The 26,856-nt window shown below is 37.2% G+C and overlaps 1 protein-coding gene across 8 annotated transcripts in view, besides 4 other annotated features; it reads left to right on the top strand.

Annotated features, from left to right (window-relative positions):
• The window catches only part of COL19A1 (collagen type XIX alpha 1 chain), a 345,913-nt gene that overhangs the window by 33,441 nt on the left and 285,616 nt on the right, over positions 1-26,856 (top strand). For all 8 annotated transcript variants that reach the window (NM_001858.6, XM_047418188.1, XM_011535437.3 and 5 more), the window contains exon 4: positions 243-342. In NM_001858.6, coding sequence (NP_001849.2) covers positions 243-342 — 100 coding nt within the window. The remainder of the gene's footprint in view (positions 1-242; positions 343-26,856) is intronic.
• Positions 13,910-14,431: an enhancer, noted in NCBI's record as "NANOG hESC enhancer chr6:70623798-70624319 (GRCh37/hg19 assembly coordinates)". NCBI's record gives its function as "activates a minimal SCP1, AML or CMV promoter by ChIP-STARR-seq in naive H9 embryonic stem cells {active_cell/tissue: H9 hESC(naive)}" and the evidence as "EXISTENCE:reporter gene assay evidence [ECO:0000049][PMID:30033119]".
• Positions 13,910-14,433: a biological region, named in NCBI's record as "NANOG hESC enhancer GRCh37_chr6:70623798-70624319".
• Positions 14,235-14,433: a silencer, noted in NCBI's record as "fragment chr6:70624123-70624321 (GRCh37/hg19 assembly coordinates)". NCBI's record gives its function as "represses an EF-1alpha promoter that drives an FKBP-Casp9 reporter gene in an ReSE screen in K562 erythroleukemia cells {active_cell/tissue: K562}" and the evidence as "EXISTENCE:reporter gene assay evidence [ECO:0000049][PMID:32094911]".
• Positions 17,375-18,574: an enhancer, noted in NCBI's record as "CDK7 strongly-dependent group 2 enhancer chr6:70627263-70628462 (GRCh37/hg19 assembly coordinates)". NCBI's record gives its function as "activates an origin of replication core promoter dependent on BRD2, BRD4, P300/CBP, MED14 and CDK7 cofactors, with strong dependence on CDK7, by STARR-seq in HCT116 cells {active_cell/tissue: HCT116}" and the evidence as "EXISTENCE:reporter gene assay evidence [ECO:0000049][PMID:35650434]".

Genomic DNA, 26,856 nt, shown 5'->3' on the forward strand with positions numbered 1-26,856 from the left:
TTTTTTTGAAATATATTCATGATTTTTTTCTAGAAAAATGGCTACACGTTCTATATGCAAAGTGAATTTCATTCTCTTTTACCCTAAAAGGAGAAAAATAAAATCAAGAAATTTTGCTGATCCCAAGCAGCAAGATTTCGTTTGAAGTGAATCAATTAATAGATAAGGGCAACACAAAATTCTGTTTAGAAATTAACATTTCTATTAGTTTATTAAATTGAATCATCTGTTACATTTTACAGGTTTTGATCTAGGAGACAGCTTTTCTCTAAGACGTGCATTTTGTGAAAGTGATAAAACCTGTTTCAAATTGGGAAGTGCACTTCTTATTAGAGACACTATGTAAGTAAAAAATTATTTTCTTTATGTTTAATAATACTTCATAAATTATTTTCTAAAGAGATTTCAAATAATTTGTTTTAAAAATAAAGTTTCTCAATAGCATCATCCTCACTGGAATGCAGTGGTAAACGTGTTGTTAATGTATTTGTTGTTTATAAAAATCATTGCAATCTAATCTTGGCTCTACAGTGTAAATATCATTTATATGTACAGAAAAAGGCACGATCATTAGAGAACAGTAATTAAATCCATTTCTGAAGAAATATTGTTTATGTTTAAAGTAGACATAACCAATATTAGGTTTTTCAAGGTAAACATTAAAACATAAGGCACTATATAGATTCAGAGCCAAAAGACTGATATTTATTGTATAAATTTTTAGATTTTCTATGCTTCTTAAGTTAAAATAAAAGAATTTAGCTCTTAGGTGTTCATCTTATCTATTGTATAGAGTACATAGTAAATAAAAAGCTGTTTTGTGCTTTTATTTTTGGTCTTGATACTCATTTAATTTTAAAATAGATTTACCAAAGTTTTCCCTTACTTTTTCTTTCTTTTTTCTACAGATACACTTAGAGTTACAAAAAAAAAATCACTTTCCATTCAAATAGTGACAATTGGTCAGCAACCATACAGGGCAACAATGATTTACCATATAGTTGGCAATAATTAAAGGATGACTTCATAGTAATTCAGAAAGCTGAGTTATCAGGCAGGCAGGTAGCACATATGGTCAGGATAATTATTCCTGGAGTCCAAGATGAATATTCGCATGTATGAATATACCGCAATAAAAACCCTCAAAATTCTACTTAGCTTCATATGCAACACAAATGTTTTTGTGTGAAAATATGTATGTATGTTTTCCCTTCCTGGGCAGTAGCCTAATATTTAAGACAGACAAGATTGTGGAGAATCTCAAAATTTGAATTCTTAAAGGGAAATAGCATTAATCATCTCATTGCCCTTGCTCAGACGTTCTGTGTAAATGAGGTTCATAACCTACACTTTTTCCCTGAGAAAAGTTTCTTTTAAACCTATTTTGTGATACTTTTGGTAATTTTCATTTAATGACTGAAATGGCTCCTTAAAAGTAAACTGCTCAATACTTGGTAAGAAACAAGAATATTAAGGAAGGAATTTCAAATCAGGGGATATAATGGGTGGTTGTTAGGTGGGACACTTCAGCAGATGTAACTGTATGGACCCACGCTACAGCTGCCGCTGTTTGGGTGGTCTCATAAGTAGGCATTAAATTCTCAGGGTACAGCAGTTCCATGCTTAGGTATGCATAAGCCATAAAGAAAAGATGAGAGGCGCAATATTTCTCACATGTATATATTTAGATGTTTCTTAACTAGGAGTAGATAACTTTAATTAATAAATTTAAGAAAGGCAATACATTCTGTTTAAAAATTAAGATGCATTTTCTCTCCCCATCTTCTTTCGGATTTAAACCCCTGTAATGCTGGCCAGATGGCAAAAGGATTTTGGCAAAAGGAGTGAAACCTTTTAAAATTCATTGGATTACATGTGAGAAGACTTAGCTAATTTTACGTAGCTACACTGGAAAACTTGCTGCGACATTTAGACAATGCTATTTCTTTTTAAATTTATGTGATTATAAATATTAGGCAAGACTTGGAATTTGTTTTCTGAATTTTGGGTTCTAAATCACTGCCCAATCCATGGGTAATCAATGTAAGTGAATTCTCTGGTTCTGTGGAGCAGAACCTGGTACCTCCACTATAGGAAACCGGGGGTATCTGGTTGAGCTGCCCAGTGAGTATCAAGTAGCTTGGCTCATTTCCACTTACATTTCACTTGTTGAGCCAAGTATGCTAGGATGCTTCTCTTGCATGATGCCATTTTGATTTTTCAATGAGACTGGAGTAAAGTTGTAGCTATTTATATATTTGTAAATAAGCTGCTTTGCAGAGTCAGCATGGGAAAAGGCAGATTCTATTTTATATGGAAAATGGGGATGCTTTCTGTGCCTGAGCTTCCTTTTATTGTTCTGGCATATCCCAGGTGAGGTTCGTGAGAGGAGAGACCTAATGAGTATGTTGGTCTGATACCTGTTAGGCATATTCAATGCCTTGAGCCTTGCTTAATGTAAAACTCCCAAAGACCGCTTTTGCAGGGGCCTTCCAGATAGACATCTGTCAGGTCCACAACCCAGGTACTAACAAGGGTAAATCGTGAGTCTCAGGCAAAATACAAGTCACCTTTTATCTCTGGATAACAACGCAGTAACCAAGAGCTTCTGCCCTGGGCAATAGTATCACACCTTATCAGTTGCCCATGGTTCTTTTGGGTCCTGTACCTGTGCTAAAGTTATAGGGAAGCTTATGAGAGGCCACACAGACAGCATATATGTTCCCTGGAGGAGGGTCCCTTCCCTGGCCATTCCCCTACCAACGGTTAATTGTGGAGGCCACACTTTAAATTTCCAAGGAGTAACTTGGAAATTATACTGCACTCTCACGCCAGGGGGCCACAATAGCCAACCATCTACGGTGAGGGGCTTGGAGGGTCCATGGCCAACACCAGGTTTTTTTGTTATTGTTCCCCTACTTTTAGGGGTGTTGGGGCAGGCAATAACAGATTACTGTTCATCCCCGTACCTGGCTGGAGAAGGTCATCCTTCCTGTCATAGATCTGGCCACATGGCCTGGCCCTACATGGGTCAGTGACTAACTAGCTAATTCTATAACTTTCAGGTAATGAACCACAAGGTTTAGCCTTGATAAACTGCCCAGCATCGGTTCAGATTACCACAGGTGTCACCTCTTTGGTGATCACTATCTACACTGCCTTGAGTTCAACTTATTAACTACTTTATCTACACCTGGTTTTAAACCATATGTTGTCAGTGTTAGGCTGGACTGCGGCAGCAATCAAGGCAGCAGCAGTCCTCTGGCTAGACCTATCTGTATACCATGCCCCATCAGGAGTGGTGGGGGTGCCTCAGGCTCCATGGCCTTATCTTGCATTAGGCCTATAGGCTTCAAGACCTCTTGTAAATCTGTGCTAAGGGACTTGTACTCAGCATACTTCACTGCTGCAAGTAGGGGCCCCACTTCGCTAAAGTGGATGTCTGCACCTTCCCTATCCAGGGGGTTGTTACCCATGAATGTACCTACCACACTGTTGGGTACACTCTGCATGATGACTATATCCCAATCTGCCATGCTTTTATGAGCCTGAAGGGCAGCATACGCACTTACTAACTGCTTCCCAGTCCGGGGGGTTGTTATCCATAAATGCACCCATCCTGCTATTACTAACTGCTTTTCTATCAAGGAATACCAGAGCTCAGCTCCCTTCCATAGCTGGGACCAAAAGCCTACTGATATTCTCAGGTGCTCCGTGCACTGCCATAGGCCCTAACTGAAACTATCTGTGGTCACATGCACATCTAGCTTAAATGGGCACCTCTTGTCAACTACCTGTAGGGCTTATGCCTGCTAATTAGCCTGCTTGGCTACCAGGAAGACTGTCTCAGCAGCATCATACCAATCCTAGGCAAGGGGAGCATTGCCGCTTCTAAATCTGCAAGAGAATCAGAGGTTAACATAACATCATTAATAAGATCATGACACATGGTGGGGCTATGTATATAGCCCCGCAGCAACACTGTGAAAGTCCATTGTCAACCTCCCATCAAGGCAAACTGATGGCCTTCTGCCTCCTTGAGGGCTGCCATAGCAGTAGTCACTTCATGTAGGCAGTGCCCCACATATGGGGTGAGAACAGCAGCTAGAGAGCCAAAATCACTCGGGGGCACTGAGCCCAGCACAAGATCCCTCATGTGGGAGGGAAAGCGTTCATCATCTGGCCCCCAGGTATTCAGATCAAATGGTCTGCTCTATACCCATCTTCCAGAGTATTTGCACAAAATGAGTATATGATCGCCATTTACTCACAGTTTCTAGTATCTCTCCAGCATCATTCCAAACAGTCCATATTGCTGCCATTAGCCACTCGATTAATGTGTGTTCACCATGCCCTTGTGCCAACCATCGGCACAGATACAGCCACTGACGAAGGGAGGGGTGAGTTGTGATAAAAGCCAGCTTTTCCATCTCAGAGGTGGAGCAAGAAATGCTGCCAGCCTCCTTGTCCCAAAGACAGAGTGGCCAGGCAGGGAGGGGCACTGGGTGCTGCTGACACTGTTACCTAACTCTCACAACTCAGTGGGTGTATAAGCACTATAAGAGGTGTGTTCCACTACTGTGGGGGGTTCCAGGGCTCTCCACTGGGTTCCCATCAGATGGTCATGTTGTACCTTTTGACAGATCATAGGGTGAGCCTGCAGTGGTGGAGCCCCCTCCTCCTCAGGATCAGACCAAATGGGACTGTCCAGCCTGGAGGACAGGCTCAAGGTCAAACTTACAGCTGTTGCTAACTCTTGTTCCAGGCTGTTTATCTGGGCCTCCAAGTGCCCTGCTTGCACCTGAAGGTCCCTCACCCCCGGTTCTGCTACAAGCTGTGCACTTGGGTCCCTAGGCACACGGCTTGTGCTGGGATGTCCCTTACCTGTGGCACTGAGCATGTATTTCACACAGTGCAGTCAGAAATGCCCATCCAACTCTGCTGGTGGAGGTGCGTTCCTTCTCGGTGCTGCGTGCTTCCAGCTGCCTCGGTGCTTTCTCCACACTCACAGGAGACCTATCCACTGCCTCCCACATTTCCATTGGGGCCCATCCAAGCAGCACCACTGACACCAGGTACCACAGCCCATGCTGCAGCCACAGAGCCAACCCGGGAGCCTTCAGGGGCCAAAGACCCACTCACCTTATCCTGCCAACTATGCCAATTGTCAGGTCCATGACTACGCCAGATGTTATGCTGGGGTCAGGTTCCAGCTCATGCTGAGATCTGAAGGGAGTGGGTGGGTGAGCAGAGAGCTAAAAGAACACTTGGAGGGCTGTAGGCAGGTGAAAGGTAGTTTTATTCAGCAGCTCTCTCAACAGCAGCTTACACACACTAGGTCTCTCAAACTGTTCGCTCTGTCTTGGCTGCTTCATCCGGTGGCTCCCACACACAGCTACATGGACAGCTCTCCCTTCAGGGTCAGCAGCTTAACTGTTTCTCTCTCTGGGCATGAGTGAGCTGAGCCGTGTCCTGGCTCCCCGCTGTTCATCTGCAAAGATGGACAGCTTTGACTCTCTGTTTCTCTGGGCGCAAGTGCACTTGTACAGTGTCAGCAGGGCAATTATACCTTTCACAGACAATAGTGGCGTAGGGCCAAGGGATGGCCTTCCCATGTTATGGCTACATGGTTTTGATAACAAGAGGAGTTATACGCCTGTGCTCTAAACTCACTGAGTCACTCTGGATGTTTACCTCGGCCTATCCTTGACCAAAGCACAGCCGTGTTCCTTACAACATCATTGTACACTTAGAGGTGGCACAGGCTCAGGGGATATTTGAGGGGCTTTATGTGTTTTGTTGGCTTTAAATTCATGTCCATTCTTCAGTATTTATGGGATAGCAAATGGTAAGTATTTGGGGGCTTTAGAAGATTCTGGGTGGCATGCTACCTAGTTCTCTAGAATTATTTGTTTAGAGGAAATTTTCTTGGCTTCTTATATCTCCAAGTATCCCTAGTTATTTAAAAGAGATAATTCATTATTTGTATACATATTGAGAGCTATAGCAAAGAAGATTATATTTTGATTATTTTAAAATTGTGTTTTGGCAGTTATCAGGGGAAATTGGTAAAATACTGAGTAAAAACAGATAAAAACACACACAAACACACATACTATAGAGTACCTTATTTTCTTGGCATAATGTAGTCTCTATCTAGCTTCCATTAGTTGCTTCAATAGAAAATTCAAATAAAATGTCTTAGTATTGAATATTTTAGATGAATGTTGAATTTCTACATGCTGTTGGTTCTGAAGGAGCAACACACTCAGCTTGACTGGCCGATGAAGAAATTGATTTCAAATGTACCAAGGAAGTGAGTTTTCTGATTCATTGTTTAATTCAAGTATGGTAAAGAGCCTTATCCCTTAGGCTCTTGATAGCTACTGGCTGTCTGGAATGCTATGTTGAGAAGGATTCTGGAGCCATAGTGGGTTTAAAGTGCTGTGACCCATTAAAAAAAAGAGGGAGGGAGGAGTGAGCATATGTGTTCCATATCTATAGCCTCTCTGAATTAGGATGATTTCTGTAAGCTGGTGGCTTTTGCAATTGAAGCAGTGTCTAAGAATGAGGGGAAATGAGGCTACGTGTGAAAAAATAACACAGATTAAATTTAATACGATTTATGAGCTTGAATAATATAGCTAGACACAGTGACATAAATGACATATATGATCCCCTTAGTATTTGTTACAAATAAATAAATCTCTAGTGAAAGGGAGTCTTCTTTATCTGTGTCTCTGTATCTCTCTCATTCAATTGGTGTCTACTTTATGAAAGTAAAGATAATTTAGTTTCATAGCTTTATGTGAAAATAAGAGGTAGCTGGTAGGAGCTATTCTAAATTATGTTTATGGATTTACAAACATAATAATCTTTAGCAAGTAGGAAACCCAAACTACAAATTTGGAAGATGTGTAATGTTTTTCAGAAATATTTGAACTCTGGACTTTAACAGTTCCCTTGAAAATAATCCAAAATATGGACAAAACTGTCATATGTGTTGTAACATGATGTTTACCTTGTCTTTTCTATTGTTGAATGATTTATCCCATGGGACTACCTTTTCTACACGGACCTTTACACTATCTTCAGATTATTATTATTATTATTTTTTTTTTTTTTTTTTTTTGAGACGGAGTCTCCAAAAAAACAGAGTCTCCAGCTCTGTTGCCCAGGCTGGAGTGCAGTGGCACCATCTCGGCTCACTGCAACCTCCACCTCCCGGTTTCAAACGATTCTCCTGCCTCAGCCTCCTGAGTAGCTGGGATTACAGGTGCGTGCCACCACTCCTGGCTAATTTTTGTATTTTTAGTAGAGACAGGGTTTCACCATGTCAGCCAGGCTGGTCTCAAACTCCTGACCTCAGGTGATCCACCCGCCTCGGCCCCCCAAAGTGCTGGGATTACAGGCATGAGCCACTGCGCCCGGCTGATTTTTATCATTATAAATAACACTACAACATACAAGAAAGTTGTTTTTTTCTGTATTTAGGATTATTTTCATACAATTGACTTTTAGAAATAAAATTACTTGTTCATATTTAGGGATCTTGATATATACTACTAATTATGTTCAATCATTGTTTTCTCCATGTATTCTGCATATTTTCCAATATCTTCTGTAGCACTAGGAATTATCATGTTAAGATTTTGTGTTTTATTTAACTTAAAACTTGTGCAGTTACAAATAGAAGCTGTAGTTTACTGTATAATTTTCACAGAAGTTCCTAAAATGTTTCTGTTTTGCTAAAGGGTGAATAAGAGGTAGCATTCGGTAAGTCACTGAAATGAATGCAGTCTAGTCTAGAGCTTATCCTTTTACTCAGCAAGCATTTGTTGAGTGTCACCATGGGCCAGGCACTTTGCTAGGTTCTGAGCTTACATTGATAAAAGAATGTGGATCTAGTCTTTCCTTCCTGGAACCTGCTAGAAAGATACACAGTGCAAGGAAAAGCTACACTTCCCCCTTGCTTTGCCTTCATAGAAGGCAACTGAGATGTATTGCCTTCTATTGTTCAAGCTTAGACTGCATGACTCAAATTTCACCCCTTATAAAGGCTAAACTTCCTTAAGCATCATGCACAAGGCTAATTTTCAATGTTTTCATTCCTTGCCTCTTAAGGGACTATTTTGAGGGACTATTTTGTAATGCATAGTTCTCCTTTGAGTCCTCTCCAAGTTCTCAAAACAAATTCAGAGGCTGAAAACTTGTTCAGAACTCTGATATCGAAGTGTCTCCTTGCTGAGTGTTTTAGAAGGATTACTTTACAATTCCATTAAGCTCTAGAGAATGCCTATTTATGCATCCCTTGGGTTTTCATTTGGGGCATTCCTTCATTGTGTAGATAGGAATTTTCCTATATAAGGATAGGTGACTTAGTTACAAAGTTGTCCAGCTGTTTTTATGAGATTGTATGACTGTTATACATGATTATGTCATCACTGTATTTCCTTCATTGCAGTTTGGCATACCAAGAATCTGAGGTTAGTCATTAAGTCATACTTTTTTTAAATGGAAAGAACATATACAAATATTTACTACTCAATAGTCAAAAGCACCTATTTTATTTTTTCTAGAAAATTCAGAATTGTTAATAGGCAGCAATAAATTTCTTAGTATAGAAATAGCTATTAAGATGTAATGTAATATGAAATATTATTAGTTCAGTATTGTTATTTACTGATTTTGGAAACATTTGATGTTATCATTATCAAATTTAAGTAAGTTGTGATTTTGCTCTTTCAGATTTCATATAACTCAGTATTGGGAAAAGTAGAACATATCAGTAATTAATCATATGTGTATAAATTCTACAACATTCATATGACTTAAAGTTTTTTCTTGGACTTGACCATTCATTTATTAGCCAGAGAGAAATAAGTTTGTTTAAAAGGTACAGAAATGTTTTAAGTTTAATGTCTATTTGTGGACATTAGTAGATAAAATCTTATAAAATTAAAATATTTTTGTGTTTCACATGAGTTAAAATGGAAAAACCATAAATCTATTTATACATTTAAGAAACTAAAGTTCCTATAGTAAGAAACAATAATGTCACTATTATTGCCTTCAAAGAATGTATTCTTAACAATTAAATTACCCAAAAAAGCCTCACATAAAATGGAATGAAAGTGAGAAGCTGCAATTCATTTACAAACTTATCCATTTTCTAGCCTCAAATGTACATAAACTTTCTAAGGAAAAGAGGGTAGGTTCTCATTTCTGAGGAAAAAAGGAGTAGTTTTTCACTTGTCTTGTTGAAACACAGGACAGAACATTAGTAAAGAGTTTGCAGAAAGAGGTATAAGATACGGTTCTTGCCTCTAGGGAGTGTGTGATATCTCTCCTCTTAGGGGCAAGAAATGAAGACAGACTTAATTATAATTATAATTATAAGCATACAGTTAATGCTTTAAATGTTCAACGGAACAAATATAAAGACAAAATCTCTTATATTTGGGATGATAAAAAAATATCTTGAAGACTATGGGATTTAAACTAGGCTTTGAAAACTGAAGAGACTACTGAGAGTCAGAGATGAATCAAGTTCTGGGGAGAAGAAAGACATCTAAGGTGAGGGAAGGCCCTAGGAGGTTAAGACATGGAAAAATACAATAAATATAATTACATGAGATAATTTCTATATGAGTAAAACATTGACAACCCAATTTATCCATATCCAAGGTGGCAGGCAGTTTGATTTTCTCTGATGCTCACAAACATTACATAAGCCCCTGGCAAAAATTTTGAAGAACTGATATACGATTTTCCCCACCACATCCAGATGGCTTAAGTTCTAATGAAAGTCTACGGTCATTCAAAATAGGTAATAGGCCTCTCATATGGTATCATATAATCGGAAAGGTATTATTTTTCTTTAGACTCCATTGCTCACATCAGAACTCCCATTCTTTGGCCAGGCAGGAAATTGTTCAGATATATAAGCCTTACAGGGTAGAGATTACATCCAACTGATTCATGTTTGTGTCCCTCGTGGTACCTGACACACAGTGGTGTTTAGTGCTAGTTGAATTGGTATGATCTTAAGTTTAAATTGAAGGGATATTTGAAATTTATTGGTACAGCTACTTGCATATTTTAGGCAACCAATAATTTCTTTTCACCAGCACCTCAAAAAATAAGGCACCTTACTTCTAATTCTTGTACTAGATCTTTTCACCAAAGAAGACTTAAGAACAAGGCACATGTGACTACCCAGTTTCCAACAATGATAATGATTCTTATAATACCACCTTACATTTATGAATGTTATATGATTTACAAAGTAATTTTGCCTTCTTGTATCAATGGTACCACAATGACTTCTGTGATGTAGTACTTTATCACCATTTTATAGATGAAAAATGAGGTTGAATGACATTAAGGAATTCACCTAAAATTTCAAAAATAATAAACAGTTGTGTCTAGAACTCAGTTCTTCTGTCTCCAAATCCAGAATTAATTTCTACTTTATTATGACTAATTACATGTAAATTATCTTGTTATGTCTATATGCCATTTACTTTGATAGTAGTGAGGTACTAGCTAAATGTACTACTTAGGAGTCATAATAAAGCAAATGTTCTCATAAAGTAATGAAACTAAAGTGTTCTATTTTGATAATTACTTGGGCCAGTCTAATAGGCATTGATTAATCTACCTCTATTGTTGGATTATATATTAGATTTTTTTCTTTTTCCAGTCATTCTTTTATCCTATGAATCAATCTTGTAAGGGACAGCAGAGCTTTTCGCCTGGTAGGGTTGTGTGAATGTATCTGTGCAGTGTACACTGCAGATTTTCAGAGTGTACAAAAGAAAGGCATGTAAGCATGTACTTCAGTCTTATCTTTAATCTTAATTTGGCTCATAAAAATGCTATTTGAGGACTAATTAGTTATTATCCTTAGGTGGTTGCAAATGCGTTGATTTATAATGGTTGTAAACCTACAAATAAGCATGGTCTTAAATTTATGAATTAGAGAATTGACCTTTAATAGTGCTTGATGCTTTGTTATACTAGTGCTTCAGCATAGCTTTATAACAACTCTAAAGATTTTTCTGTAGGCTGATTGGACTCTGTGTATCACAAAATAGCATCAAATAGTCTAATCCTCCTTCTCAGACACAGTCAGACTGTAGGATATAATTATAATTTCAATAATAAACTTTGAAATCTATGTCAACCAAGGAAGAATAATTGTGCCAACTGATAAATCATTACTTTATTGTCATTTCAATTCTTTCAACTTAGCCACAAATGCTAATTAGAAAATAAACATGGTAGCAGAAAAACTATGCTTATGTTATTTTATGTGATTCCTGTAAGTTTCCTACATCTTGTTCATTATCTCATTTAGGTCAGCACTTATGTTTCCTAAGACACTTTTTTTTCCCCCAAATTAGGTGACATTTTAATAATTTTAGACTAAAGTAATAAAATATTCAAATAATTGACTTGATTAATTCCTTTCACCCTGGCTATATCTAAGTAATTTGGAAACATCATAAGTTCAGTGAAAATGTTAATATGAACACATGTGGTGATGCCATGCAGAATTAACATCTGGCTGGTTGAATTTGAGACTGAGTTGACCAGATGTTTTGTGTTCAAGTTATTTTTCTTATTTGAACAATCTCAACTTCTTCTCTCTACTTCATAATTTCTTAATTTCAGCTGTTCTCCCTGGAGGCAACCCCCCTTCTTTCAAAGGTTAACCCCTTCACTTGTGCTCTTAATCCTCTCCTAGCCAGCCTCCTCTAAGACCTTGATCCACCCATGATCCCCCTGCTCTTGGGTCTTCAGTGCTCCTCTCCACAGTATCCTGGCCTCTTACTCTACAAATATATACTTAATCCTTCCCTATTACAGAAACATTTTCCCTGGGCAGTCCCCTTTACTCACAGACTTCTTAAAGGAACAATGTTACTGTCCACTTTTACTTCTTCACACATCCCTTAGCCCATTAAAATCTGACTAGGACTTCTTGAACACTATGGAAATTTCTGCCTCATAGTTGCCGGTGACAGCTGTCCTAATTCCAATGCCAGCGTTGACCTAGGTGTTGCACTAAACTTCCTTTGTTAACCCATTTCTGTCTCTCTCTGTCATACCATGCCCACCTTTTCTGCCCATTGGAATCCTACATATCCTAGAAAGCTTAGTACACATGCTACATTCTACACTAAGCCCTCACTAATGTCCTTCAAGTTTCCTTCTTTTTTTGGTGGTCCAATACCACTTTTTCCATAATTCTTACATAATTCTGATCTCATTCTGACTTGTGTAATCTAAATGTTCTCAGGCCTCGTTAATATGTGGATTTAAATGATATTATATTAACATCAATGCGTAAATTGATATTACTTCTACTTTCTACATACATCACTGCTTAAAACCTACTGTTGTTATTTCTGGGAGCCCGAAAAGTGATGCACATGTGTTCATGTTCAAAAGCAGATATGCTTTTCTTCTTGTTTTCTAATTTTCTTATCAATGCGTGTTGCTATTGCCATTGCTGGGAGCTCTCTCCATGCAAATGCTACTCTGTGAGACCCAACCAACCTCTGCTCATGGCTGCTCATTCTTGGCCCACAGGTGCCAGAATTACCCTGTGGCTTATGACTGTGTGAGGTGTGCATGTGTGCTTTGGAAGGTGGTGGCAGAGATCTAAAGACCCCTTCTCTAACTGTCCCCTGGGCCCTGAGGCAGTGTATCTTGGGCACAGAGCCTCACAGAGTGTTTAATAAATATAGTCCTATCAACTCCTGGCTCACCATCATTTGTGAGTCTCAAAAGCCAGTAGAGGCCAGGCACGGTGGCTCACACCAGTAATCCTAGCACTTTGGGAGGCCAAGGCAGGCAGATCGCTTGAGCCCAGGAGTTCGAGATCAGCTTGAGTAACATAGCAAAACCCTGTCTCTACAAAATACAAAAAAGTTAGCCAGGTATGGTGGTGTATGCCTGTAGTCATAGCTACTCAGGAGCCTCAGGTGGGAGGATTGCTTGAGCCCAGGGAGGTTGAGGCTGCAGTGAGCCCTGATCATGCCACTACACTCCAGCCTGAGTGACAGAGTGAGACCCTGTCTCAAAAAATTAAAAAATAAAAAGTATGAATACGAGGCAATTCTCTCTGTTATCCTCAAGTTTGCCTCTCTCTTCTGATTTACCCACAATAAGAATGTAAAGTTTCTTTTGGTTAAGAGGGCTATATTGAGAAAAAATATTTTATGTTATATTGTCATTATTATTTCTACCTTCAGCTTTGATGCCAGTGAAAGAATAAATACTAACAAAGTATTTCATTCAATTCCCAAATGATAGTAAATATTATATGCTAAACCCTGAGAATTTAAGGGTGAATAGAAACAGTCCCCTCCATTGAATTATTTCTGTTTGGAAGGACAGGCCAAAAATAAGCTGTTATGGCATATAATAGCAATTTTTAGATATATGTATGATAAACTCTGAGAGAACAGATGAAGCCAGGAAAAGCTTCATAGAGGAAGTGAAAAGTTGAGCCTTGAAGTGTGAATTTACCAGGTGAGCCAAGGGGTCAATGTATGTTGTGGTAGTTAGAGGGAGCATCATGGTAGTTTTAAAGGTCAAAGCAATTTGAGGAATAGTGAGAAATCCCATGTGGTTAATGAACACAGGTGAGAAGAATGTCTGGAGGTAGAGAAGACTTGAAAGTGTGGGCTGTTCTGAAAGGTCTTACTTGCTGGCATGAGGGGTTTGAACTTTATTCATATTTTAAAAAAAAGTGGAGGTGTAGTAGCAATAGCACTACATGCTAGAAAAAAACAGCTGAGCGCATATGCCATTGGGAAAATCTCAGCTTTCAATTAGGTCTAGGACCTCCCAGGCTGATCCTAAAGCAACAGTTGAGCTCTCGGACCCAAGGATACTTCAGAATTTAGAGGACCTTTTGCGGGCAGGGTTGGGTTTAATCCAGGGTTAAAAAAAAAAAAACCCTTTCCTGGCTGAGGGACACCAGAAAAAACTAACCTTCAATGTATCCTCATTTCTAAAGAGCAGACTGTCTAATTTATCCTTGGTTTTTGTTATCTGGATGGCATCCAGTAGGGGGACTTGTTTTCAATGGGAAGTCGTTTACAATGCCACATTGAACTAGTGCTAATCAGATCAGGCGTGAGATTGTTAGAGGGTCATCCAAGCTTTGTTTTCCCATTAACAACCTATCTGCCTGAATCCCCTCAGCAAACACAAAAGGGCTAAGATTTCAGAGTCTCTGTGGCTGTGGAACTCCAACATCATCAACCAGCCTGGGAGGAAGGCATTTCAGACAAACCCTCTAGGCCCTGCTAGCCAAATTGCTTGTAACTGACAGGTGATGGTGGGTGTCAGCTGGGAAAGAAATGACTTACTATAAACTCCAAGCATCTCTCACTTCACTCTCAGGAAATGTAACTTGTATCATATTTCTCTTCCTGGAAGATATTCAGCAAGTCAGAGGCCTCACTGATACTTGTAAATACGGAAGTTCTTCCTAAACCCTGCCTCACACTTACTCGGAATGGCAGAATTAATTTGGAAGCCAGTTCTTGATATTTAAAAATCGATTTTTTTCCATTTAGCCATTTAATTTTATAAGCAAAATTAAATAAATAAAGCTTGGTCTTGTTAAACAAATAAATAAAGCTTAGTCTTTTAAATATGATCTGGAAAATTCACTCTAGCTCTATCAAAATAGCACTTTGCTTTCAAGGCTTATGCTTTGAGCTGGTTGAAGAATTACCTCCGGAACCACTGTAATCAGTAATTAAACTTTTTAAACACTTTGCTATGTGAATGTATCTCACACTCAATTTTTAGAACATCATTTATGAAATGAAATTTCTCTAGAATAACAATGTCATCTTGCTTTTCAGTTCATGAGCACTGAAATTATAAAAGTTTCTTCATCTTTTTTTTATATTTTAGTTCTTGTCTCACATTCCTTATTATTTATTTAAGCAAAAGATCAAACAGGAAACTGGTAATCATGAATTTTCTTCCTAATCCTTTCTTGTTCTGTAGCTTGGTTTATCCTTTCCTTTTTGTATATTTGAAACCGAACTGTTACTACACAGAGACGTAACCATATTACAAACTGTGGTTCTTTTAGGAACACTGAACAAAAACATCAAATTTGGACTTGCTATACAATGAAATTGCTAATTACTTAATATACTAATAAGTAAACAAATTTATGAGCTTCATTATTGTCTTTAAGTTTCTTGACAACAACCCACCAGGGCCTAGTCATGGAGAACAAATGCAACCTACTGTCTGCTTCTATCTCCCCATAAAACAACTGTCAATAAATATGAGCATGTACTTTAAAATAGTGAATTAATTTTAAAATTTTCTGCTTTTCCCCAACTTTGTCATACTTACAATGCTAACCATTGGAAGGGAGTCTGAAAAGCAAAGTTTATCCTCTTAAGGCAGTTTTTATTGGCTTCTCATTAATTGGACAGCCGGGAATGCTCATTATTTGTTCAGTTGATACCCTCTGTTGCTGGGAGACCAGATACTTCACCTTCATTAAGTTAACTTTGTAGATAACAATGGCAGGCCCTGATTTCACAATTCAGGGAATGAATAGAATGAAAGTTTACTGTGTGCCAGGAAAACCATAATGTAGGATTGGTGCAAAAGTTTCTCTTTCTTTCCATCATCATTTGAGATAGTCACATGATCATTATTTTCACGTTTGAATAAATTACTTATCTTTTAGTTACGTTACCATTCTACTGTTGTTCTTCCCAAAGTATGAAAATCCCAATGTATTACTTTTCATTAGGAAAATAAATACAGAGGTACTATTTATCAGAACACGTTTTACCTTTCTTCACATTACCTAGTTACTAGTATACATACTGTTCTCATGATTTTCACTACTACTTCCTGAAAATTACACTCATCTCATCTTTTTTTTTTTTTTTTTTTTTTTAGACAGAGTCTTGCTGTCGCCCAGGCTGGAGTGCAGTGGCGCGATCTCAGCTCACTGCAAGCTCTGCCTCCCAGGTTCACGCCATTCTCCTGCCTCAGCCTCCCAAGTAGCTGGGACTACAGGCATCTGCCACCATGCCTGGCTAATTTTTTGTATTATTAGTAGAGATGGGGTTTCACCGTGTTAGCCAGGATGGTCTTGATCTCCTGACCTTGTGATCTGCCCGCCTCGGCCTCCCAAAGTGCAGGGATTACAGGCGGGAGCCACCGCGCCCAGCTTTAAATTACACTCATCTTTAAGGAAATGCTTGGTGAACCATGGCACATGTTTACCTATGTAACAAAACTGTGCATGCTGCACATGTACCCCAGGACTTAAAATAAAAATGAAAATTAAAAAGAAAAGAAATGTTTGGTGAAAACTTCTAAGTTTTCTAGAAAATGATCTAAGGAATTAGAGAGAAAATATTCCTGATTTTTTTTCATCTTGTTTAGCATGGCTATCTTTTCCAAAATCCAATAGGCAGTAATTTCTATTTTGAAGTCATAACTGTGTGTTTTGTGATACTTCCTGATCTATGCTCAAAATATCATTAGAGGAAGGAACTATAATAATTTACCTTTCAGGGCTACTAGCCACGTAGGATGTGCAAATGTCAGAATAAATACTTTGCTTGGAGCCCAAAATATGATTCATTGTTGTTGTTAATATTATAGTGTGATTGTAAACATTTTATTTATTCATTTCTTGAAATTAATATATTTACTTATATCCCTCCTTAATACTTATGAAAATAGAGACATTTTTCCCCTCATAGTGCCAAAATATTACTTTTAAGTCAGGTTGGTAATGATGAGGGGAATTTTATTCTTAACCAAAAAAGAAAGCTCAAAAAGATACAAGCAACTTGATACATTGGAAGAAACTAACCTTGGAATTAAAAGTCATAAGTTCAAGTTCCAACCTGACCTCTGGCAGAGTAAAGGTGAGGTAGTTATTTAACGTCTGCAGCTTTAATTTCTCATTTATGAAGTGAGATGATTGATCTAAATTACTATCAAAGTCCCTTTCAGCTTTAGGAGTATAGAACTACAGGAAACTATGATGTGTGGTTTCTTATGACCAACACATTTCCAAGGACTTGAAGACTTCTATGAAGACACTTTTGGTGAAATATTGGAGCAGCTATTATATTTTGCTTCAGCCTGTAGAGATTTTAAACTTCTTTTTGAAATTAAGAAACTGATGTGTTTGTTAAGGACTTCTTTTTCTATCAAAGTTTTTGATTAACCTGCTTTAGAATCACATAGGATTTGACTTTTCCATCTGTTGTTTTCCTGATGAATGTGATATAGCACAGTCTCATAAGGCCTCCACGTTAAGGCCTTATGCAAGATAACATAGATTTTATGCTGAGCAACGTAAGTGTTAAGCACTTACTAGGACTGGTTATAGGCATCATTGTGGATTTTCATGAATGGAACAAATCTTTATGGATGCTTCCTATATGCAAGGTACTAGTCTAGATGCTTGATTTACAGCCACAAGTCTTACAGGACCCTGTTTTTGTGGAAATCACATTCCACAAAACGGGCAATAAATATGTAAACCAATAATTCTTAAAAAGTCAGGTAGGCACAAACCTATGAAGAAAACAGAACAAGGTAATGTGTTAGATGGTGACTAGGGTGAGGACAATCTTAGACCGTTCAAGGGAAGTGATATTTGAGCTGAGACCTGAACAGTAAGGAAAAGCCATCTAAATCAAGGGTGTCGAATCTTTTGGCTTCCCTGAGCCACTTTGGAAGAAGAAGAATTGTCTTGGACCACACATGAAATATACTAACAGTAATGATAGCTGATGAGCTAAAAAAAAATCACAAAAAAATCTCATAATGTTTTAAGAAAGTTTACAACTTTGTGTTTGGGCTGCTTCAAAGCCATCCTGAGCTGCATGTGGCCAGTGGGCGGTGAGTTGAGTAATCTTGATGTAAATGAAGACCTCTGGGAAAGACTGTCCCAGGAGAGGAAACAGGAAGTACAAAGGCCCAAGGTCTCAATGAGCCTAGTGTGTTCAAGGAACAAAACTCAAGTCATTGTGCCTGGAGCCTGGGTGCCACACAGAGACTGGAATAGGAGATGATGTGTCAGAGGAAGGCAGGAGTCAGATCACATCATACCTTATGAGTCATGGTCAGAGAAATGCATCTTATTCTAGGAACCATGCAACACTTTTAGAAGGTTATAAGTAAGGGAGGGACCTGGTCTGATTTTAAAAGCTCATTCTAGCTGCTATGTGCAGGCCAGACTGTAAGGAAAGGCAAAGAAGGAGGACAATCAGGACACTATAACAGGAGTCCTGGGGAGAGATGGTGGCCGCTTGGGATAGCATGGTGATAGTGGAGATGGAGAGAAGTAGCCAGAGTCAAGATCTGTTTTGGTGATAAAAACAGTAAGGGCTTGGGGTGGTGGCTCATGCCTGTAATCCCAGAACTTGGGGAGGCCAATGCAGATGTATCGCTTGAGGCCAGGAGTTTGAGACCCGCCTAGGAAACATGGCGAAATTCCATCTCTACAAAAAAATAAAAAATACAAAAAATTAGCCAGGTATGGCTGCACGTGCCTATGGTCCCAGCTACATAGGAGGCTGAAGTGGGAGGATCACTTGAGCCTGGGAGGTTGAGGCTGCAATGAACCATGACCACACCTCTGCACTCCTGCCTGGGTGACAGAGTGAGACCCTGCCGCAAAAAAATAAACCCATAAAATAAAACACAAAAACCAGTAAGACTTGCTGATGGGTTAGATAGGATGGGGGATAATAAAGGAAAGGCAGGAAAAAATAATAACTTGCAGGGATTTGGGTGGGGCACCTGAGTGAATAGCCATGTCTTTTATTGAGATGTGGAATCCTTGTGGAGGGATGTTCTGACGCAGCAATATAAAACGTTCAATTTCAGTTATTTAATTACAATGCCTTTCCCCTCCACGTGGAGATGCCTACTAAGGACTTAGGTATGTAAGTCCAGAGCACAGGAGAGAGAAATAGACAAGGTTTATCTTGGTTGCATCTCACATCCCCTCCTTTTTGGAACTTTCCTCCCAAACTCCCACTGCCTTAAGGTGACACATTTGCTGCCCAAGACTCAGCATCTCATCTCTGTCTGTCTAACTCAGGAGAGCTTCCTTCTCTGGATTTGTTCTCTCTCTGTGTCTTCCCTCTTAGAACTTTGCTTCATAGCAGTCCCCACAGATCTCTGCTCTGTGCTTTCCAAGGTGAGAATTAATTATTACATAGTTTGTTAGTAATGTGTGACCGACTTTTTGGGACTATCTTAATATTAACAGAGCTTGTGTTTTATAAACACGAGGATTTTCCAGACAGGAAGAAAGCTCTAAAAGTAGATAATTAGGTGTTTTGGCTTGTTAATGAAAGCACTTCATAGTTAGGAAGAATGTTGAATGTACAATCTATTTAATAACAATTATACAAATATAGAGTGATCAAATGCTTCCTCTATCTCATGCCAAGATCTTTTCTGTAATACAGAAAACTTTTAGGTTTTATTCTGTTTGTATTTCCTAATGGTTTTAAGTAAATTTTGACCAGAAAAAAAATTTTCATTAATCAGATAGGAAAAAATCTAGAGAATGAAGTTAATATGGAATTTGGACAAATATAATTCATTCTTAAAGTCCTATACAGTGGAATTGCTTCAGAGTTAATAAAATGTTATTTTTTATCCAACTCCATGTATATTACTACTAGTAACTTTGTAATTAGATATTCCATTTTAAGTAAATGGGTGAAATATTGTCATAGGTATGTTTTTATTTGAAAGTTTTTTGTTTTGCTTTTTCTCCTAATGCTTCAGTGATTTACTTATTATAAAGGCTATAGGTTGGGAGTTCTAGACTTTTGCAACTTAATTTTTACCTACCAAAATAGAAAAAATAATATTTGTTAGTGCCCTTTTAGGTGTGTGAGGGGGTGCAGTATGTGCCAATTCTCCCTCATCTCTGTCCTTGAAGAATATAGGGATAATTTATAGGTCACATCAGAGGTTAGGGTTATTTTTCCCAAGATGGGAATAGTTGTAATTTTTAAAAACCTGATCATCAGCACAATTCATGCCCCTTGCAAAAACTGAGAAAGTAGAGAAAATATAAAGAAAAAAATAAAAATCTTTCTTAATCTTAACACCAAGAAAGAAACATTTTAATGTTAAGATTTTTATGAAATAAATGTTTTATTAGGGTCAAAGCCTCACTGGCAGTGGTTCTGACACCTGGACACTGCTTGTACTATAGTTAGTCATTTTTAAGGAGCGCTATTTCTGATCCCCTGGTCACTTCCCCGAAGTTTCATATGGTTTTCTTCCATTTTATGATTAAACAGGGGGCTGCTGTACATAGAGAATGTCAGAGAGCAGATGCAAGCTACATTTTATATTTCTGCAACATTGAAGTGAATTACAAGTTTAAAGGAATCCAAGATATATGAATTACAAGGCTTCAGAGATACTCCAGATTACATCTAGAGCTGGCTCCCTCCCTCAGAGGCCAGTGTGAAGTGGACTCCCAGGCAGCAATTTTCCCTTGACATGCCTGGAGCACTTCGACCAACTTTAGTTTGACTGTATGATGTTTAGTTAGCCATATTTTGAAAATATTGATTTTATATTGAACATTTTGTTAATCTGATATACTTGTGCCCTCATAGGCCCATGAATATCTAGATGACCTTAATTAATGTGTAGAAAAGTAGACAATTTAAAAAAAGGATAAATTACACTTAAATTTCACTGAGTCTAGGCTCTTCAAATGTAGGTTAGTATTAATTTATGTGGATAAAATTTTTATTTATGACATTGAACTACATACAACATGTATAAAATGGAGGGAAGGCAGGAAACATCCCATTGAGAATTTCTAGTCATATATATATATTCATCTATATATTCATATGTATATTCATATGTATATTCATATATATATTCATATGTATATTCATATGTATATTCATATATATATTCATATATATATCATATATATTCATATATATATTCATATATATCATATATATTCATAGACATATCATATATATTCATAGACATATCATATATATTCATAGACATATCATATATTCATATACATATATATCACATATGTATCACATATATATCACATATGTATCACGTATATATTCATATACGTATCACATATATTCATATATATATCACATATATTCATATATAATATATCCATATGTATTATATATCCATATATGTCATATATCATATCATATATCATATATATCATATATCATATATCATATATATCATATATCATATATCATATAATCATATATCATATATCTATATATATCATATATCATAATCATATATATCATATATATCATATATATCATATATATCATATATCATATATATCATATATCATATATATCATATATATCATATATATCATATATCATATATATCATATATATTCATATATTCATATATATTCATATATATTCATATATATTCATATGTATATTCATATATATTCATGTATATTCATATATATTCATATATATATTCGTATATATTCATATATATTCGCACATAGATTCGTATATGTATATAGATTCGTATACGTATATAGATTCGTATATATTCGTATATAGATTCGTATATATTCGTATGTAGATTCGTATATATTCGTATGTAGATTCGTATATATTCGTATGTAGATTCGTATATATTCGTATGTAGATTCGTATATGTATATTCGTATGTAGATTCGTATATGTATATTCGTATGTAGATTCGTATATGTATATTCGTATGTAGATTCGTATATATATTCGTATGTAGATTCGTATATATATTTATATGAATGAACTTAGCAAGTAAGGATCAGCGATATTTTTCTTACTGGGAGTATCACTGAATAAGCAATGGATAGGATTTCTTATAGGAAATTACACTCCATTCAAAATATTCAAGCATGGATATCTTAGACATAGCAAGCTGTCATTATATCTCTCTGGTAACCCAATATGGCCTCTTTTATAACAGAAATTTTGGCAAGACCCAGAGAAACTATTCTGTGTCACGTTAAGTGTTTGTGCTTGTGTGGTATAAACAACAAGCATAGTTTGTAAGAGTAGATTTTTTTTTAATATTTTATTTTTAAAATGCAGAAGTTTTTCTTCAAATAGCATAATCTTGGCAAGCAAAATCATATTTGGTCTTGAAAGCACAATATAAATTTCTGAAAGGGAAATATAGTAATTATAAAGATTTTCATTCATTATAAACTTAGATTAAAATCAATTATTCCTTAAATATAGCTAAATTTATTTCAATGTATATTTTAAAATATAATTGTTATATATAAATATTGATAATACTCTTATTTTTTTGTCACAGCAGAAACTACTCATGAGATGCAAAAATATTTTCAGCTTTTGAACTAGATTATAAATTATCGAAAAATAATTCTATTTAGGTTTTTTTTTTTTTTTTTTTTTGATATGGAGTCTTACTCTGTCACCCAGGCTGGAATGCAGTGGTGCAATCTCGGCTCACTGCAACCTTCACCTCCTGGGTTCAAACAATTCTCCTGCCTCAGCCAACTGAGTAGCTGGGATTACAGGCGCGTGCCACCATGCCTGACTAATTTTTGTATTTTTAGTAGAAATGGGGTTTCACTATGTTGGCCAGGCAGGTCTCAAACTCCTGACCTCAAGTGATCTGCCCGCCTCGGCCTCCCAAAGTGCTGGAATTACTGGTGTGAGCCACCACACCCGACCTCTATTTAGTTTTTGTTTATTAAACATCAAAGTATCATATCAAAATTCAGTACATCTCTGTCTTTCATTTGCTGGATCACTCACTCATTCAACAGATAAAGTGCCCTGTTGGGACTGCACTTAGGCTTTGTGAGTGATACAAAGTATGTTAAATGCTGTGCTTGCTTTCAAAGAGCTTTCAGTCTTAACAACAGATGGACTGGTGACTGCATGACTATCATCCTAAGTAGAAAATGAAGAGAAAAAATGTTTTTATTATCTTTTGCTTTGTAAGAAACCACTACAAAACTTAGTGGCTAAAAATAACAATTTGTTATTTCTGAAGGATTTCAGAAAACCTACTCCTCAAAAAAAGCAATAAGAACACAGGCAAAATTTGTCAAAATCAATATATTCAGAACTTTTTAAGGGGCTTTCACAATCTAATGAGTGATTATTCAAGAAAAACTTTGAATCTCAGTAAGACTAGCAGGCTTTATGGCATTTTAACTTGTCCTATTCATATCCCTCTCTCTCCAACACATGGTAGGCTTGAAAACCAGTAGCTTCAGAATCACAGTGAAAACTAGCTGCCTAGCAGCTGCTGGAAAGGGAAGAAAGAGTGTGAAGTTCATTAAAAGCTCCATTTTCAGGGAATTGCCATTATTTTTCCTGCCTGGTAGTTCCCTAAAAACCCCAATTCTTAGTTGGTCTTTATTTGACCTGATCAGAGCTTGTAAGAATAGCCCTTTCCTGTGGACATTAATTGAAAATAATCAGTGGCAATTGTTTAATATTGCAGCTGCCTGAGGCAGGAGTTATAACTGGAATAAACAAGAAGCTGATCAAAAAAATTTTTAAAGAAAAAACTGGGGAAGAAGACATCCATAGAGGGCACTAGAAAGCTCCAACATATTTGTAGGACTCCAGACACATATTTCTATGTTACAGGGCTGTGTGAAAACTCCGGAAAGGCCTGAAAAGGCCTTAAAATCTTTGGCAAAACTCCAAGCTCTGAACAAGCAGAACATGAAGGCTAAGGTGATTTATAAACTACCAGCCTGAACATTTAAGGTATTTTCTGTCACACACATAGGCCTTCAGCAAAGGCTGGGATGCTTTTGGGTAAGGGTGTTTAACTATTCAATCATTAGTTGACTACTAAGCTAAATGAGCAGAAACTTCAGGAGTCAAACACTTTACAGAATTTGTCCAGAAAAGTGACTAAGCAAATAAAAAGCAGCAACAATAAAGACAACAGACAGCACCAACGGCAAACCATTGACAGGTAGAGTCTAATTTCCAATGTTACCATATTATATTATTTTAAATGTCTTCTTTTCTTTCTTCTTTTAAATTATACTTTAAGTTCTAGGGTACATGTGCACAATGTGCAGGTTTGTTACATATGTATACATGTGCCATGTTGGTGAGCTGCACCCATTAACTCGTCATTTACATTAGGTACATCTCCTAATGCTATCCCTCCCCCTTCCCCCCACCCCATGACAGGCCCCGGTGTGTGATGTTCTCCTTCCTGTGTCCAAGTGTTCTCATTGTTCAATTCCCGCCTATGAGTGAGAATATGCAGTGTTTGGTTTTTTGTTCTTGTGATAGTTTGCTGAAAATGGTGGTTTCCAGCTTCATCCATGTCCCTACAAAGGACATGAACTCGTCATTTTTTATGGCTGCATAGTATTCCATGGTGTATATGTGCCACATTTTCTTAATCCAGTCTATCATTGATGGACACGTGGGTTGGTTCCAAGTCTTTGCTATTGTGAATAGTGCCGCAATAAACATATGTGTGCATGTGACTTTATAGCAGAATGATTTATAATCCTTTGGGTATATCTGGGTCAAATGGTATTTCTAGTTCTAGATCCCTGAGGAATCGCCACACTCTCTTCCACAATGGTTGAACTAGTTCACAGTCCCACCAACAGTGTAAAAGTGTTCCTATTTCTCCACATCCTCTCCAGCACCTGTTGTTTCCTGACTTTTTAATGATTGCCATTCTAACTGGTGTGAGATGGTATCTCATTGTGGTTTTGATTTGCATTTCTCTGATGGCCAGTGATGATGAGCATTTTTTCATGTGTCTGTTGGCCGCATAAATGTCTTCTTTTGAGAAGTGTCTGTTCACATCCTTTGCCCACTTTTTGATGGGGTTGTTTGCTTTTTCTTGTAAATTTGTTTGAGTTCTTTGTAGATTCTGGATATTAGCCCTTTGTTAGATGAGTAGATTGCAAAAATTTTCTCTGATTCTGTAGGTTGCCTGTTCACTCTGATGGTAGTTTCTTTTGCTGTGCAGAAGTTCTTTAGTTTAATTAGATCCCATTTGTCAATTTTGGCTTTTGTTGCCATTGCTTTTGGTGTTTTAGACATGAAGTCTTTGCCCAAGCCTATGTCCTGAATGGTATTGCCTAGGTTTTTTTCTAGGGTTTTTATGGTTTGAGGTCTAACATTTAAGTCTTTAATCCATCTTGAATTAATTTTTGTATAAGGTGTAAGGAAGGGATCCAGTTTCAGCTTTCTACATATGGCAAGCCAGTATTCCCAGCACCATTTGTTAAATAGGGTATCCTTTCCCCATTGCTTGTTTTTGTCAGGTTTCTCAAAGATCAGATGTTTGTAGATGTGTGGTATTATTTCTGAGGGCTCTGTTCTGTTCCATTGGTCTATATCTCTGTTTTGATACCAGTACCATGCTGTTTTGGTTACTGTAGCCTTGTAGTATAGTTTGAAGTCAGGTAGTGTGATGCCTCCAGCTTTTTTCTTTTGGCTTAGGATTGACTTGGCAATGCGGGCTCTTTTTTGGTTCCATATGAACTTTAAAGTAGTTTTTTCCAATTCTGTGAAGAAAGTCATTGGTAGCTTGATAAGGATGGCATTGAATCTATAAATTATCTTGGGCAGTATGGCCATTTTCATGATATTGGTTCTTCCTATCCATGGGCATGGAATGTTCTTCCATTTGTTTGTATCCTCTTTTATTTCATTGAGCAGTGGTTTGTAGTTCTCCTTGAAGAGGTCCTTCACATCCCTTGTAAGTTGGATTTCTAGGTATTTTATTCTCTTTGAAGTAATTGCAAATGGGAGTTCACTCATGATTTGGCTCTCTGTTTGTTTGTTATTGGTGTATAAGAATGCTTGTGATTTTTGCACATTGATTTTGTATCCTGAGACTTTGCTGAAGTTGCTTATCAGCTGAAGGAGATTTTGGGCTGAGACGATGGGGTTTTCTAAATATACAATCATGTCATCTGCAAACAGGGACAATTTGACTTCCTCTTTTCCTAATTGAATACCCTTTATTTCTTTCTCCTGCATGATTGCCCTGGCCAGAACTTCCAACACTATGTTGAATAGGAGTGGTGAGAGAGGGCATCCCTGTCTTGTGCCAGTTTTCAAAGGGAATGCCTCCAGTTTTTGCCCCTTCAGTATTTTATTGGCTGTGGTCTTTTCAATTAACAATTAGAAGATATGCAAAAAGAAGGTATGCAAAACTATGTACAGATAAAAGAGTGGCCAATAGAAACTGTTTCTGAGGAAACCTAGACATTAAACTTACTTAACAATAACTTTGTCTGCTATTTTAAATATACTTAAGTAACTAAAGGAAACTGTAATGAACTAAAGAAAAGTATGAGAATGATGTCTTACCAAATAGAGAATATCAATAAGTAGAAATTATTAAGAAGCAGCAAATCAAATTTTTGAATAGAAAAGTATAAAACAGAAATGAAAAATTTACAGGAGGGGTTCAAGAACTGATCTGAGGTAGGAGAAGAAAGAATCCAGGAACTTGAAGATAGTTCAATTAGTCTGCAGATCGGGGGAAAAAGAATGAAGAAAAATGAACAGTTCCAAGACTGTGTGATACCAGCAAGCATGCATAATAGGAATTCTAGGAGTGGAGAGAGAGTAAAGAAAGACTATTTGAAGAAATAAGCAATGCAAATTCCTCAAATTTGGTAAAAGGTATTAACTTATACATTCAGGAAGCTCAACAGACTCTAAGAAGGACAAACTGAAAGAGATCCACACTTAGTCACATGATAACCAAACTGCCAAAAGTCAAAGAGAGAAT

Source organism: Homo sapiens, chromosome 6 (genome assembly GCF_000001405.40).
Source record: "Homo sapiens chromosome 6, GRCh38.p14 Primary Assembly".
Taxonomy (NCBI): domain Eukaryota; kingdom Metazoa; phylum Chordata; class Mammalia; order Primates; family Hominidae; genus Homo; species Homo sapiens.